Here is a 16,329-nt window from a genome sequence, read left to right as displayed (position 1 = left end):
AACTTTCTGATGTCCTCGATGAAGACAAAGCCACAGTGACCTTCAAATTACTGGCGCTCAGAGACAGCAGCCACACAGACGAGCTCCCTGTGTTTTCCTGTCAGGCACCTAACCTGGTTCTGGAGAAAATTCCAAAACCCAGGTAAGAGGAGGGAGCTCCTATTTGCTGTCACCCATGTGCCTGGCCTAGGCTAGACCCTTGTCTGCTGTTTCAAACTGCAACACCTGGGCTTCATGCCTGGCCATCCCAGGAGCCTGGTGATAGCAGCCCACACTCAGATGGCATTGACTAAGTGCCAGGTATTGTTCTAAGCACTCAGCTCATACATTCCATCAACAACTCCATGAGGCAGGTAGTATTATTATCAACAACCTCATTTTATTAAGAGACAGTTGATATAAAAAGAGGTGAAGTCACTTGCCCCAGGTCACACGGTGAGGAAGTAGTAGAGCTGCGACTCCAGCCAGGCACTCTGGTCCCAGAGACTGTGCACACCCGTTTCCACCATATGCTCTAGAGGGCAAGGCAGCTCCCATCGGAATGTCTCAAATTCCAGGCCGTTGGCAGAACACTTCTCCCCACCACTGAAGAACAGTGACTGTTCTGCTGTTGGGTAGTGGTCACTTCCTCTTGTGCCCTACAAAAACTTCTGCTGAGGCCTTCAGCTAGTCAGTGCCTGGAATCTCACCATTGGAAATTCACCTGTAGCAGGAGTGAATGAGTTTATCAGCCCTTATCCGGACTTGGTGAGTGAGACGGTAAAGAGGCTTTGAGCTCCTGATTAGAGGAGAAGGGCAGGGAGGATGAGCACTGGGCCGGGCAGGAAGGGGGACTGAGAGGAGCCGGGGGAGGTGGATGGCATAGCCCTCAGCCAGGAGGCCACCTAGGGCTGGCAAAGTGCGTAGGCTATGATGGGCTTCAGCTTCCTTTTTTGTGATGCTCTCTTCATTGTCATCAAGGAAATGAACTCTCATTAGAAAGTTGTCTCACGTTGAACCCAGAGTGCATAGTTCTCTCCAGCAGACATTGACATTAACCAGGTAGGAAGGGAAAGAGCCAAAGAATTTGTATAGAGGTAGAATCTAAATCAGCTCCTGACTCGCTTTGGGAGCCATAGGAACACTGCTGGGGCCAGAGTCCGTGGGAGGACTGAGCCAGACATCAGGATCCACTTCAGTGACCAAGACTGAGCATTTTAGGGCTAAAACTAGGGCAAGGACTGCCCATGGGCCAGTACTCTCTAACCAGCCAGCCAGGCAGCCACTTACCACTCCTCAAATCTGACCCAAAAGATGAACCTTGTTTGCCACCCTAGACCCTAACCCCCCCATCACTGGATGTTCAGGAAAATTGAACCCAAGGAGGGGATGATTTGTCAGGATCCCCCTAAGTTGGTGGCAGAGGTGCCCTTTCTCTGCACCACCCAGTGGAAACACAAACCTAAAAAGCCTGGGAATCCAAGGATGCCCTTTGACTCTGAACTTTTGGCATTCTACGCATCTCATTGAAGTTGCTTTCCACAGCTAGTCCCCAGGGTTTGCCGAGCTGGCTTTGAGCCTCTCGCCTCCGTATCTGGGAGTCAGAGGGGAAAGGGCTGAGTTTATGGCCTCTGTACTTCTGTGACTCTCTTTGGGCCTGTGTGGCTGGGAAGCTTGTTCTCACCCAGTTCCAGCCTAATTCCCAAGACCAAGATGAGGATAAGAATCTGTTTCCAGAGCTGAGAGCCCTGTTCTCTCCTGTCACTGCAATGACAATTCCAGCTCTCTGGAGGCCAGGCTGGCCATCCCTCTGTGAGCAGGAGCAGCCCCCTGGGGAAGGCAGGTGGGCTGCCTGACGCAGGGAGAGGGTAGAGGGCTGCAATTGTCTTTCTGGGGCCTGGTGTTTGCAGCCCAGGAGCCTGCCACTGGCCTTCGTAGGAATAAGATTGTTACGAACTACTAGGTGTTTACTACTTGTCAAGCACTGTGCTGAACTCTAAATGTGTGGTCACTCATTTAATCATTACGTGGAATCCTATGAGGTAGCCAATGCTGTTATCTTCATTAGGGAAACTGAGGCACCAAGGCATTAAGTAACATACCTGAGGTTAAATAGATAGTAAGTAGTATAGACCAGGCAGGGCTGCTCCAGGAATCCATGTCATTAACCACAGTGCTATACTGCTTCAAGTGGATGAGAAAGAAACGATGTACGGAGTCTGATTTCATGTGCCCCTCAGCCTGGCATCCAAAGTTCTACATCCTCTGGCCCCCAGACCATTTCTCCAGCCCCAGTTCTTGCCAAATGACTTCCTCTGCTTCTGCCACATCAACCTCTCTGGTTTCCTTGGCCTGCCATGCTCCATCGCTTCTCTGTGTCTTTGCACGTGTTCACTCTACCCTGTCCTCCTCATGCCTACGTGAACTCCTATGCACCCTTTAAGGCCTAGGTCAACTGTCAAAGGAGGGCATTGAGCCCGGCATAGAATGAGATTTCAGTCAATGTGAGCACACCGCTCCCTCCTGAAATGAACCCTTTGGATTCCAAGTGACAGAAACCCAATTGAAGAGGACCAGTTAAGTGAAAAACCCAGGAGTATAAGATGTCAGGTTTGGCTGGATCGAGATATTAAAATGATGTATCTATTCTGGCCATCTGTGTTAGTCAGGGGTCTCCAGAGAAATTGAAGCGAGAGAGAGAGAGATTTTTATTTTAAGGAATTGGCTCACACAATTGTGGAGGCCAGCAGGGCCAAACCCTGCAAGGCAGGCCAGCAAGCTGGAGACAAGGGAAGAGCTGATATTGCAGCTCCGGGCCAAAGCCAGTGTGTTGGCAGAATGCTCTCTTCCTAGGAGGACATAAGACTTTTTTTCTTTTAAAGCTGTGAGCCGATTGGATGAGGCCCACCCACATGATGGAGGATAAGTCTACTGATTTAAATGTTAATCTCATCTAGAAAATGCCTTCACAGCAACATCTAGATGTGTTCGACCAAATATCTGGGCACTGTGGCCCAGCCAAGTTGACACATAAGATTAACCACTGTGCTGTCTCTGGACTCCTCTATTTGGCTTCATTCCCAGATGGGCTCTTTCCACATGATGCCAAGATGGCCTCTGCTATTCTAAATGTATTCCACCAAGTAGTGCAACCCCAGGGGGAAAAGCACACCTTTTTCCTAATAATTCCAGCTAAATCCTGAGGATTTACTCTGATTAGCTCAACATGCGGGTGTGGCCATCCCTGATTAGCCAGACCTGGGTCACACACCCACTCATGTAGCCAGGGTTTAGAGTTAGCCCCTCTAGTACCACATGGACTAGGTAAAGGGGAAAGGTGGGTTCCAAAAGGAAAATTGGGGGCTGTTGCAGAAGAAGGAGAAATGGATCTAAGGGAGACACAGAGGGGTGTCCCCTGAGAACCCTTGTCCCCACAAGTGCCCTTTCTCCTCCTTTTCACCTGTTCTTCCCTTTTCCTCTCCCTGCGACCTACACTGGAAGGGGCCTGTGGCCAAGACACCAGGGGTTCATTCTCTTGGTATGTGGAACCCTCACCAACTCCCAGCTGCCAGGGTTGGGTAGTCGGCCAACAGTTGGGAGTGAAAAATGGTATGTGATCTTTCATGACCACAGGACCCCCAAGGCTAAGATATGAGGGTTCCAATACTTGCTCTCCAAATGTCCAGGGGCGAGAACTGAAATCTGACCTTGGTCACATTTCTTAATTCTCATTTTGGTTTCTTCAGCTATAAAGGGGGTATAAATAGAACTTACTTCATAGAATTGTGAGGATCAAAAGAAATGCAGATAAACTGCTTAGAAATAGTTCTTGGCCCTGAAATTAATATTAACTTAAAATCTGGGATGAATGCTATAGAAAGAGCAGCTTGGGGCCCATCTCACTCTTGAGGATGGAGTTTCCTAAGGGGAGGCTCTAAGGCAAGGGTTGTTCCTTACTGTGCCCCCCCACTTACACCTGTAGCACTTACACCTGTAGCAACTTCTCCTCTCTGCAGGAAATCCTCTAAGCTCTTTCCCTTTCCCTAGGGACCCCCAATAAACCACCAGTTGAAAGCGTGCATGTGGGTACACACATATGTACATGTTGGGGTTTTAGTATTCATCTTTATTAATTTTATCCTTAATGCACACAGGAGGTAGAAGAGACAGATTTCTTGTCAGTTACCTTACAGTAAATAAGTGTGTCAGCTTCCCTTGCCCCAGACCTTATCCCTGCCTGATGTGTTAAAAGCCTACAGGAAAAAGTCTCCTCCCCGAGTGGCAGGACACTCAGTGAGAGACCAAAAACAATGGTTTTCTCCATTTATATACAGAAGTTAGACAGCCGTCCCTGCCTCCTCTCCTGAGAGGTGAAGGGAAAAAACAAAACAAAAACCTTTTCTTCTTTGAGAAGGGATAGAAAGAATCTTGGATTTTCACTCTAACTTTTTTGAATGTAAATACTTAGGGGAACAAATGCTGGCGAGGGTGTGGAGAAAAGGGAACCCTCGTACACTGTTGGTGGGAATGTAAATTAGTACAGCCTCTATGGAGAACAGTTTGGAGGTTTCCTCAAAAAACTAAAAATACAGCTACCATATGATCCAGCAATCCCACTGCTGGGTATATATCCAAAAGAAAGTAAATTTGTGGTGGGGCACAGTGGCTCATGCCCGTAATCCCAGGACTTTGGGAGGCCAAGGCGAGCAGATCACGAGGTCAAGAGATCGAGACCATCCTGGCCACCATGATGAAACCCCATCTCTACTAAAAATACAAAAAGAAAATTAGCTGGGCGTGATGGCGCGCGTCTGTAGTCCCAGCTACTTGGGAGGCTGAGGCAGAAGAATCACCTGAACCCGGAAGATGGAGGTTGCAGTGAGCCAAGATGGCACCACTGTGCTCCAGCCTGGTGACAGAGTGAGACTCCGTCTCAAAAAAAAAAAAGACAAGAAATTAGTATCTGTGAGATATATCTACTCTCCCGTGTTTGCTGCAGCACTGTCACAATAGTCAAAATTTGGAAGCAAGCTAAGTGTCCATCCACAGATGAAGAAAAAAAGGTGGTTCATATACACAATGGAGTACTATTCAGCAATAAAAAAAGATGAGATCCTGTCATTTGCAACAACATGAATGGAACTGGAGGCTATTATGTTAAGTGAAATAAGCCAGGCACAGAAAGACAAACATCACAGGTTCTCACTTATTTGTGGGATCTAAAAATCAAAACAATTGAATTCATGGAGATAGAGAGTAGACGGATGGTTACCAGAGGCTGGGAAGAGTAATGGGAGGGTGGGGAGGGAGATGGAGATGGTTAATGGGTACAAAAAAATAGTTAGAAAGAATGAATAAGTCCTAGTATTTGACAGCACAACAGGGTGACTATAGTCAATAATTTAATTGTACATTTAAAAAATAACTAAAAGAGTATAATGGATTGTTCGTAACTCAAAGGATAAATGCTTGAGGGCCCTGGATACCCCATTTTACATGATGTGATTATTTCACATTGCATTCCTGTATCAAAACATATCCCATACCCTATAAATATATACACCTACTATGTACCCACAAAAATTAAAATAAAGAAATACCTAGGGATTTAGGTAGGGAGATAGCATTCTAGTCTTCCTGGCACCTTGGGACCTTAGCCTGGGGACCTAGCCCTAGCTGTAACCCTTTGGCCCCCTTGGGGAGATAAGAATTCTTTTATCCTTAAAAAAAATGTGGTACAACACACATAACATAAAACTTACCATTGTAACCATTTTTAAGTATGGTTGAGTGATATTAAGTACATTCACACTGTTGTGCAACCATCACCACCACCCATCTCCAGAACTCTTTTCATCTTGCAAAACTGAACTCTGTACCCATTAAATAATACCTCCCATTCTCCCCGCCCCGCGGCCCCTGGTAATCATCGTTCTCCTTTCTGTCTCTATGAATCTGACTATTCCAGGTACCTCATATGAGTAGACACATTTTATTATCCGTTTAGAACAGAACCATTAACTAGACACATAGCTACAGATCTGATTCCCATGCTTATATGAAGGGCAGAATGCTCCCAAGGAAGGTGAAAGCACAACTTCTTTTCCTTTATGTCATATACATTTTCAAGTCTCAGGAGACTAGGGCTTTCTACAGGAGCACTGAGAAATTCAAGGAAATGTTATTTCCCCACAGTCCACGTGTGCAAACAGTATGATGGTTGCAGGCTGGCCAATGACAGCAGGTTCTCGGCAAGCACAGAAAGCAGCCGCCTCCAAGGAAGCAGAGTCTCTCCCTCTCTGCCTGTATGTGGCACAGCTGGCCACTCTGGCCACAGACTCTTCGTTGGTCAAGGGTGATCCTGAGACCAGTGAGCCAGCTCAGACTACTCTGCAGGCCCCATCACTTACCTGACAGGTACCAAGGAGCAAAATTTTGTCTTATGTGATTCCAGACCCTCGACACAGTCCAACAGCCATCCAGTGGGCAGCTACGTCAGGCCTGCAGCTCCTAACTCTGAGTCCATAAGTGCATTTAGGAAGGGGGATGCAGGGGAGGGGCCTTTAAGTCAGCCCACCTCGGGGAAGGACCAGGAAAGGGTTAACTAGAAAGTGACAACGGAGCCCAGTGCTAAAAGCTGAGAAGCAGGTCGTCAGATGGCTGGGGGATTTGGAGGTGACATCCCCAAGAGGGAACAGCACAGCCTCTGGGAAGGCCTGCTTTTAGCTTCCATTGCCCTGTTCTGGGCACACACAGCAGGTGCTTCGTAAATATAGATTGTCAAATGAATGATGGCTGCCTATAGGAGCAGAAGCTATGTGGGGAACTCATTGGCTGAAAGTTCTGAAGCACTAACAATCCAGCCTCCCTCCACCCCATTATTTTCCATGACTCCCCTCAGCCTGCACCCTATCCTAGAAAGACTCATTTGTTCACTCACTGCATCTGGAAAATTGTATCTCAGCGGCCCCTCCTTTGCACACACTGGTATATCCTTCCCAACCAGGCTGTCTTCTTCACCTGTACAGACTGGGCCAACCCTCAAGGCCACCTCTTCCCCTAAAGCTTCTAGGAAGCTCCCAGACAACTTTTTGTTTTTAAATAAACATATATTTCTTTTGTTTTCCCAGCCATATTGTAAACCCCTAAGGGCAGGGACCATCAGTTATTATTCCTTAATTGGAGACAATGTGGTGGAGAGAAATGGTTCTCAAACTTTAGCATGAATCACAGTCACCTGGAGGACTTGTTAAAGCAGACGTTTGGACTAGAGTTTCAGATTTAGTAGGTTAGGGGCTGACCTGAGAATATGCATTTCTAACAAATTCCCATGTAATCTTGCTGGTCCCAGGGACCACATTTTTTGAAAACCATCAGTACAGAAAGCAGACCCAGCTTAACCTGGGTTCCAATCTATGCTCCAAATCTTACTGGGCTGTGTGAGCTAGGACAAGTCCTTTAGCCTCTCTGGGCCTCAGTTTCCTAAGGACACAATAATATTGACTTCGCAGGCTTACAGAGAAACCCAGCTGGCACAGCAGGTGCTTAATAAATGCCCATTACTGACTGTCTCAGTTACACATTGGTGCACTCCCTGGCTGAGCCAGGTTATTTCCCATTAGGGGAATGAGCAACACCTCAACACTCTCCTCCCCTACTCCAACCCACCAGGGGACCAGTCTCTGGGGCAGCAGAGGAATTTTACATGATTTCTCTGGCTTCAGTGGAAAAGGTGATGCTTCTCTCCACACTGCTGGGGTTGCTCTTCTAAACAGAACTTCTCTAGCCTCTGTCCTCTGCCCAAGCCTCAGAGCACTTGCATCATTAAATAATTACCTCCTCAAGGACACACTGGAAAAAAACCTTCAAATTTAATATATTCACCGATTTGAAATTTTAGTGTACAAATTTTAGCTAAAAAATACCTTTTGGCTCAACATAGGGCATGAGGAGGCACTTTGGCAATGTCGTCTTACAGCAGGTAAATGTTAGGTACTGGCTGTGAGTCTGTCTCCATGTTTCTCTCACTCCTAACTCTCTCTCTCACACTCTTTCTCCCTTTCAGGTTTCTGTTTGCCCTGACTGGAGAGGTTCTTCTCTGGCCAAGTACCAGAGAAGGGTCTTCCTCCCTCCTCTCCCACAGAATCATGGTCTCACGTGTAGCCACACTTACCTGCACTTATATAGCAAGTTTTCATCAGTGCACAAGTGGCTTAGTTTGTGCTACTCTAACAAAATACCGTAAGTTGGGTGACTTATAAACAACAGACATTTATTCCTCCTAGTTCTGGAGGCTGGGAAGTCCAAGATCAAGGCACCAGCAGAATTGGTGTCTGGTAAGGACCTGCCTCCTCATAGGTGGCCATCTTCTCACTGTAAACTTACATGGTGGAAGGGGCAAATGAGGTCTCTGGGGCCTCTTTTATAAGGGTACTAATCCCATTCATGAGGACTCTGCCCTCATGATGTAATCATCTCCGGATGGCCCCACCCCCTAACACTATCACCTTGGGGATTAGGATTCGGGGGTGGGGGGTACCTAAACACTCAGTCCATTGCAAAAAGGAAGTCAACTATATACATTATGTATGGAAACGCACTCAACCAGCCAAGTCTAAGTAAGAACAGGGGATTGATCGTCAGAGAAATGCAAAGCAAAACTACAGTGAGATATTATCTCACCCCAGTTAAAATGGCTTATATCCAAAAGACAGGCAATAACAAATGCTGCTGAGGATGTGGAGAAAAAGAAACCCTCAGACACTGTTGGTGGGAATGTAAATTCGTACAACCACTATGGAGAACAGTCTGAAGATTCCTCAAAAAACTAAAACTAGAGTTACCCTATGGTCCAGCAATTTCACTGCTGTGTATATACCCAAAAGAAAGGCCATCAGCATATTGAAGAGATATCTGCACTCCCATGTTTGTTGCAGCACTGTTCACAGTAGCCAAGATATGGAAGCAACCTAATTGTCCATCCACAGATGAACAGATAAAGAACACGTGGTACTTATACACAGTGGAGTACTATACAGCCATAAAAAATGAGATCTTGTCATTTGCAACAACATGGATGGAACTGGAGATCATTATGTTAAGCAAAATAAGCCAGGCACAGAAAGACCAATTTCACTGTTCTCACTTATTTGTGAGAGCTAAAAATGGAAACAACTGAAGTCATGGAGATAGATAATAGAAGTACCAGAGGCTAGGAAGGGTGGAGGAGCGGGGGAAGGGGGGAATGATTAATAGGTACAAAAATATAGTTAGATAGAATGAATAAGATCTAGTATTTAGATAGCACAACAGGGTGACTACAGTCAGCAATAATTTATTGGTACATTTTTAAATAACTCAAAGAGGGCCGGGCACAGTGGTTCACACCTGTAATCCCAGCACTTTGGGAGCCCTAGGCAGATGGATCACCTGAGGTCAGAGTTCAAGACCAGCCTTGCCAACATGGTGAAACCCCATCTCTACTAAAAATACAAAAAAATTAGCCCGACATGGTGGTGTGGGCCTGTAATCCCAGCTACTCGGGAGGCTGAGGCAGGAGAATCACCTGAACCCAGGACGTGGTGGTTGCAGTGAGCTGAGATCATGCCACTGAACTCCAACCTGGGTGACAGAGTGAGACTCCGTCTCAAAAAATAAAATAATTCAAAGAGTATAACTGGATTATTTATAACACAAAGAAAAGATAAATGCTTGAGGTGATGGATACCCCATTTATTCTGATGTGATTATTATACATTATCAAAAGATCTCATGTACCTCATAAATACATCCACCTACTCCGTATCCACAAAAATTAAATAAATAAATAAGAACAGGGGGCTTGCTCTGCAGACACTGCATCCAGACAAGTCCCCCATCCCACCACATCACACCCCCTTCCAAAGGGATAGCTTCCACTCCCGTTTTCGCCTTCTTCATCTATCCCACCCCTGCCTAAGCCCATCCCTGTATCTCAGAAGGCTGCCCCAGTAGGAACCCGGACTCTGACACCTTCTTTGCTGGATGACCTTGGTCAACCAAGGTTTTCTCTCTGCCTTATTCTCAACTTGGTAATAGCAATCATACTACCTGCTTTAAAGAGAGATGGTGACTAAGCCAGAAAATGTAATAAAAGACTTGGCACTAGGTAGGAACTCAATCAATTATTAAAAAAACAAAAATAAAAATAAATATCAGTGACCATCTTGGGATTTCAGACAAGAAGCCCTCGGCTGACCTGAAAGTGGAAAAGCTTGACTCGAGTGTCTCCTTTGTGCCAGGCTTTCTCACACACACAACCCATAAAAGAGAGGTTATTCTTCCTATTTGACAGCTGAGGCTTAGGGAGGTTGACTGGCCCAAGGTCACACAGCTGGTCAGGGGTAATGCCAGGACCTAAACTTCCCCACCACAGAGTTTGGTTTTAGGCAAGCTCTGCTCAGGGGATAGGAGCTGAAGTCCCTCTGGGGAGAAGAGAGGAACATACAGGAAATGGGAAGTTATTGAGCAGTGCCCTCGCATCACTTGGCCTCGGCCCCAGCTCTAGCAGGACCCTCCAGGCCCAGACAGCTGAGGCCATGCTGTGCCAGCCAGAGGCATCTGTCAAGGTCCTGGCTGGGCCAGAGAGCAGAGTCCTCTTTGGCTGAACTCTGAGAGACAGTCTGCAACACTGTGGCCCTGAGCAGGGAGCGGGTTCAGCCAGCACACCTTATGGGATTCCACAGCATTGGGCCAGACCCAGAGCTGTCGCCGTGCTGTTCACACACATTTCCTTCCATCAGCAGTGGCAGCTGTCTCCAAAGCAAATCACTGCAGGGTCATTTGTGTACCTGTTTCACCCACGGGTATAAGGCCCCAGGGAGCAGGGCCCCATCACCCTCGAATCTTCCCATCTGACCCCCGACTGATAACAGTGACAGAACTAGGCCTTTCTTTCGGGTTCTAACACAGAGAAAAGGCAAAAGGCACAGATACACAGGTTTCCCCAAAGGTCTGTTCTTTGGGCCTTGCGCTCCTTCCTCAGGAGCCAAAGTCTCAGAAGCAGAAAAATCCTCGATACCCCCAGGATCCCTTTGGGAAGTGGTTAACAGCACAGGCTTTGAAGCCAGGCCTCACTGAGTTTGGGTCTTTTCTTCACCAACTCCTCCAGCTGTGTCACTAGGGAATGGGGCTTAACCTCTCTGAGTCTCAGTTCTCCGATAGTTGTAACTACTAGGCAGGGTTACTGTGAGATTTAAAACACGTAAAGTGGTTGGCATATACTAAGCACTCAACAACTATTGGTGAAACAAAAAGGAGAAAATCTTATCCTCAGTAATCTTCCCAGGAAGAGAGCAGGTTTGGGGATGACCAGCAGCTTGGGAAGGGAGCAAGACTTGCTAGAGAAGTCCTAAGTGGGTAAGCAAGCTGAAGGCAAATATTGACTTGCTCTGGGTCACAATGGGCATGTTTTTTAAAAAAGACACCGTGTGGAAGAAAGGAAGAGGAGATATGAGATACACACAAAGGAGAAGACCACTGGGGGTACAGGAGAAATACGGGGGTTTACTAAGTTTCTGCTGTGAGTTGTGTGAATTACAACTTTTCTAGCTCTCTGTAAAGAGCTCAGTAAAGCTTTCATTTTTTTAAACCAATGGACTGGGTGTTGGCTGTTTTAGAGGATGCAAGGAGATGCTGAGTTTGACCTTAAGTGGCCTCAAGGGTATAGAGCAACCAGGCCATCCGTAGGAGTTACCCTTCTGCATTGTGTTACTGTCGTGAGGGGGATCTTGGACCAAAACTTAAGTGGGCAAGAGCAAGAATGTTATTTAATTTCTGTATCAAGTCCCCATCCCACTAGACTGGCAGAAAACATTAGCCTTGGGCCTTCTTGGATTTCCTTCCCCACCTCTCCAGTTACGTGATGCCAAGAGACCGGGGAGAGTTCGTCTTGTTCCTGCCTCACCCTCGCCATTCAAGTATGGCTGAGGGTCCCCTGCCTCTGTTGTCTAGAGGCCCTGCCCTGGGACAAGAACACCTTTCTTCAAAACAGCCCTTGTATGTGAGCCAGGCACAGTGGCTCACACCTGTAATCCCAACACTTTCAGAGGCCAAGGTTAGGGGGCGGGGGGGATCCCTTGACGCCAGGAGTTTGTGACCAGCCTGGGCAAAACAGTAATACCTCCATCTCTACAGGAAAAAAAAAATAATCTTAAAAACCTAAAAAGCCCTTGTATGGATTTTCTAACACAGTCTACACACAACCTGCCCTTTCTGGGTGGCTGTCCCCCAGCCACCTCTACAACAGACAGGCAGGGAGGCTGGGCACAGGCTCCCTCTCAAAAGAACTTCTCTCTCTACTTCCCTCCTCCTGACATGGGGCAGGATGGAGATGAGACAGGAGATCACTTCTCCCTCCCAGGTTCCAGTTAAGACATTTTGTCTCTACATCAGTCCTCTCTTTCACTGGTTCTACAGTCTTCCAAGTTCCCCTGTGGATACAGGCTTTGAGCACCTGAAGGAGACAGGAAAGGACACACCTTTCCCAGTCAGTAAGGGTCACCCGAACTTAGGCTCTGTACTTGTTCTCCACTATTCCATAGTATAGGTCACACCATGAGTTTTGCTTTTGTCTGTTTTTAACCAGGCCGCTGTTGATTGTGGTTATTGAAAGGGTTTATTTCTTCAACTATAACCCCACTCCATTACGTCACCATTGTCATTGTAATGACCCCCTCTGCCATGGTCACTGGAACACTGGCACTCCTAGTCAGCCAGATAGAGACAAAGGCACTAAGGCCAGAACAACATCAGAGCTGGAAGGGACTTTTTGTTTGTTTGTTTTGTTTTGTTTTGTTTTGAGACAGGGTCTCTCTCTGTCGCCCAGGCTGGAGTGCAGTGGCCCGATCATGGCTCACGGCAGCCTTAACCTCCCTGGCTCAAGGGATCTGGAAAGGACTTTTCTGAAGCTCTGCACCAGCCCCTTTACTGCACCCTGCCTGAGGCCACACCCACCCAGTAGCCGGTGAGTGTGAGAATCCAATCCCGGAAATCCAGCCCTAGTTTTCATTTTGCCAGGAGAATGGCTGGGAATTCTCAGAGCGGGGTACCCTTGCTCAAAGCAAGCTCTCAGAGTCTGACCTTCTTCCAGCCCCTAGCAAGAGAAACAAAAGGCATGGCTAGAGGTGGGGAAGCACCAGAGACCCAGCATCTCCCCGACAGAGGCAGACGTAGCCCTGTTACAGACATGAATGATTTTGTATGCCACACACCGCTCTGCGTCTGTGTCTTGGACATCTTCCCCTGCCAGTAAGCATAACTCTATTCTCTGCGCTTGCTCCACAGTATCCCACAGTACAGACAATATCTGTTTTTTGTCTGTTTGGGTTTTGTCTGTTTGAACCAGCCCCATACTGATGAGCATTTGGGTTGATTCCAGGAATACAACCCATATACTACAAAGGAAGTCCTTTCATGCCTCCGTGCGCACCTGACTCCACACTTTTTCAAAGTAATTCTCCCACCCACATGGTGGGCAGTGTGGTGCATGTCCTCAGTGTAGACCTAGGTGCAGGGAAAGGTGGAATTTGTCCACAGTCACACAGTAAGTTTGTGCTAGAGATGGCAAACACGAGTCCCCAAGACTCCAGACTTAACACTCTCTTAGTCCCAGTTGATGCTCCCTTAACACCAGACTTTTTGTTTGTTTCAAATGACCCAGAATAGGCAAGTGTGAGGGTTGCACCAGGCAATGTGGGGTGAGGGAGAGACCATTAAATAACCCTGATTGATCAAGGGGCTGCCGTGTGTAGTCACCCATGGGATGAAGTAGCTTGGACTATCTCCCCAACTTGCAAAGCACATTCATACCCATGATCTCATCTTAATCTTCTGGGTTCCATATTATTATCTTTTCCATTTAGAAATAAGGAAACTGAAGTGCAGAATGGTAACCTGCCCCCAAATCACACAACTAGTAGTAGTAGAGCCAGGACTAGGAGCCCTGTTCTTTAAAAGTAAATATATTATTACTGCTAAAAAGAAAGATAGCATTGCTGAAAGTGTGAAAAAACTGAAATTGTAACTACAAAAGAAAATAACAACATTGCAGAAAATATGAAAAAAAAAAACCTTGAAAGCAAGAAAAACAAACTAAAAGAAAAAATCTTACTGGGTGACCATGGACCTGTCATCTCATCTCTCTGAACCTCAGTTGTCTCATTTTTAAAGAAAGGGAATGAGGATAAGCACAGCGACGGCAGCCAGTACATACTGAGCACCGCCTTACCAAATTTCCAAGTCTGACCTTTCCCTGCAGGCTTCATGCAAGTATACATATTTCGTACGGCTATAATCATGGGAAGCACAATTTTGTTTGCCGTTTTTCACCTGACACTATCTTGTAAAGTTTTTCTATTGACTACACAGACTCAGCTAGCACCGTCCCAGCAGTTGCATTTTTCAAGGTTGATTAACCCCTGTCCCTGGTGCTGGATATTTCTTGCCACCAAGTTTTCACTATTTTGGCTGATGCTGCAAGAAACATCTTTTGGCTTCTGAGAAATTCTCCAAAGTCAGAGACTGAGGCATTCAGACCCTGAACTCCTGCTTTCCCAAGGCTTTTCACCCAACCCCATCTGCCCTCTGCCTCAGGGCCTGGGCAGAGCCTCGGCCTTGCTGACAGCGTGCTGGAGAGGCTCACCAGGCTCAGCAGCCTCAGGGCAGGCTCAGTGAAGCTTGTAGGCAAAGGGGCTGAAGGGGTCTTTCTTTTGTGTTCCCCTGACTGTTCCTAAGAACATGTGCATTTATGCTTCATACCCTAACTAGGAAAGTTCTCCTTAAATCTAACCCCCAAATCCCATCTTCTGTTCTTTCTACATACAATATAAACTTCTTTGGGCCACAGTCTTGTGAGAATCTCTCCAAAACGTATAGGAAGACATAATGTTGTCTTTACAATTGCACGGTGTCCTCCAACTGTTAAGCCTGTCCCAGGTGAGGTTAAGAATTTCAGTCCCTCTCCACTGCCTCACATCCATCTGGCCAGATGCGTTTCTTAAACTCCTCTTTATCAGCCTGGGGCTGTCACCCATTCTACCCATTGGTCTGCCAGTCGCTGTAAGGTTGTCATGTACCAGAGGCATGAGTACAAATGATGGGGGTGGGGACGGGGGACCTGAGGAGCTGGGTTCAAGCTATGCTTCCCTGCTTGCTGGCACTGAGACCTTGGGGGAAGTCATGTTACTGGCCTCCCTTCAGCTCCCTCGCAGCTTGGGTTTCCCCATCAGAAAATTGGAAGCGATTAGAACCTGTACTTAGCAAGAGTTCTGGGACATCCCTTGTGTGAAAGTGCCAGATACGCTGTAAAGCAGTACCTAGGAGTGCCCCACCTGGGACCACTTTTGAAAATGTCCAAGCCCCACCCCACCACCACCACCACCACAAGGTAACGTTCTGCCCCACTTTTCTCATCCATGTTGGGTGGAGACTTGCGCCATCCCTCGGCTCTCTACATCCATCCGCACCACGCCCAGGTGAACTCACACTCGGGACCCTGAACCCGCCCACTCCAGGCCTTGCGGGCCCTTCTCTCCTCTTCTGCACGCCCCACCCTCCTTTCCCACCCAGACTCCAGTGTGCCCACACCCCACTCCCCATCTTAGCCTGCCTTTCCCCTCTCCCCCAGCGCACGCGTGCATCAGGGCACTCACGAAGCCACCCCGGCAACATCTGGGAGCACGCGCCTCCACATCTGGAAGGTGGGCGCAAGCGTAGCAGGGCCGGTCGGGTTCCTCGCCGCCCCCCGGCCCCGCAGGTGGTGGAGCAGGGCGGGGTGAGGGAGGGGGAGGCCAGCGGGGCTGGGCGGGGCCCGGGGGGCGGGGGCCTGACGGCCGGGCCGGGCGGCGGAGCTGCAAGGGACAGAGGCGCGGCAGGCGCGCGGAGCCAGCGGAGCCAGCTGAGCCCGAGCCCAGCCCGCGCCCGCGCCGCCATGCCCCTGGCCTTCTGCGGCAGCGAGAACCACTCGGCCGCCTACCGGGTGGACCAGGGGGTCCTCAACAACGGCTGCTTTGTGGACGCGCTCAACGTGGTGCCGCACGTCTTCCTACTCTTCATCACCTTCCCCATCCTCTTCATTGGTGAGTGCGCGCAGCGAGCCGCGGAGGAGGGGACGGGAGAGCAGGGAGGGAGGAGGAGGCGCTGCGCGCCGCACCGCTCGGCGTCCCCTTCCGGCCCGCGACCGCCGTCCGCCTCGTTCCCGGGGTCCCCTGCCCTGTGTCCTGCCCGCCGGTCCCCGCACTCGCACACCAGCTCATCCCTTCACTCCCCCGGTGCCCCCGATCCCGCGCCAAACACAGCGGACGTTTGTGACCC

General features: G+C 48.3%; 1 protein-coding gene and 1 long non-coding RNA gene across 7 annotated transcripts in view; one reads left to right on the top strand and one right to left on the bottom strand.

The window, feature by feature from the left end:
• On the bottom strand, window positions 358-16,072 carry LOC124902641 (uncharacterized). The gene is made up of 2 exons (XR_007062609.1): window positions 15,992-16,072; window positions 358-703 (listed from the first exon to the last, which is right to left on the bottom strand). It is a non-coding gene; the product is annotated as an uncharacterized LOC124902641 (long non-coding RNA).
• The window catches only part of ABCC8 (ATP binding cassette subfamily C member 8), an 84,348-nt gene continuing 83,896 nt past the window's right edge, over window positions 15,878-16,329 (top strand). For all 6 annotated transcript variants that reach the window (NR_147094.2, NM_001351297.2, NM_001351296.2 and 3 more), the window contains exon 1: window positions 15,878-16,094. Coding sequence is in view for 5 of the 6 variants with exons in the window: in NM_001351297.2 (NP_001338226.1) it covers window positions 15,947-16,094 (148 nt within the window). In the remaining variant the exon portion in view is untranslated. The remainder of the gene's footprint in view (window positions 16,095-16,329) is intronic.

This window comes from Homo sapiens, chromosome 11, assembly GCF_000001405.40.
Source record: "Homo sapiens chromosome 11, GRCh38.p14 Primary Assembly".
Taxonomy (NCBI): Eukaryota; Metazoa; Chordata; class Mammalia; order Primates; family Hominidae; genus Homo; species Homo sapiens.
The sequence above is the reverse complement of the archived record's forward strand: the minus strand, read 5'-3'. Positions and strand labels throughout refer to the sequence as shown.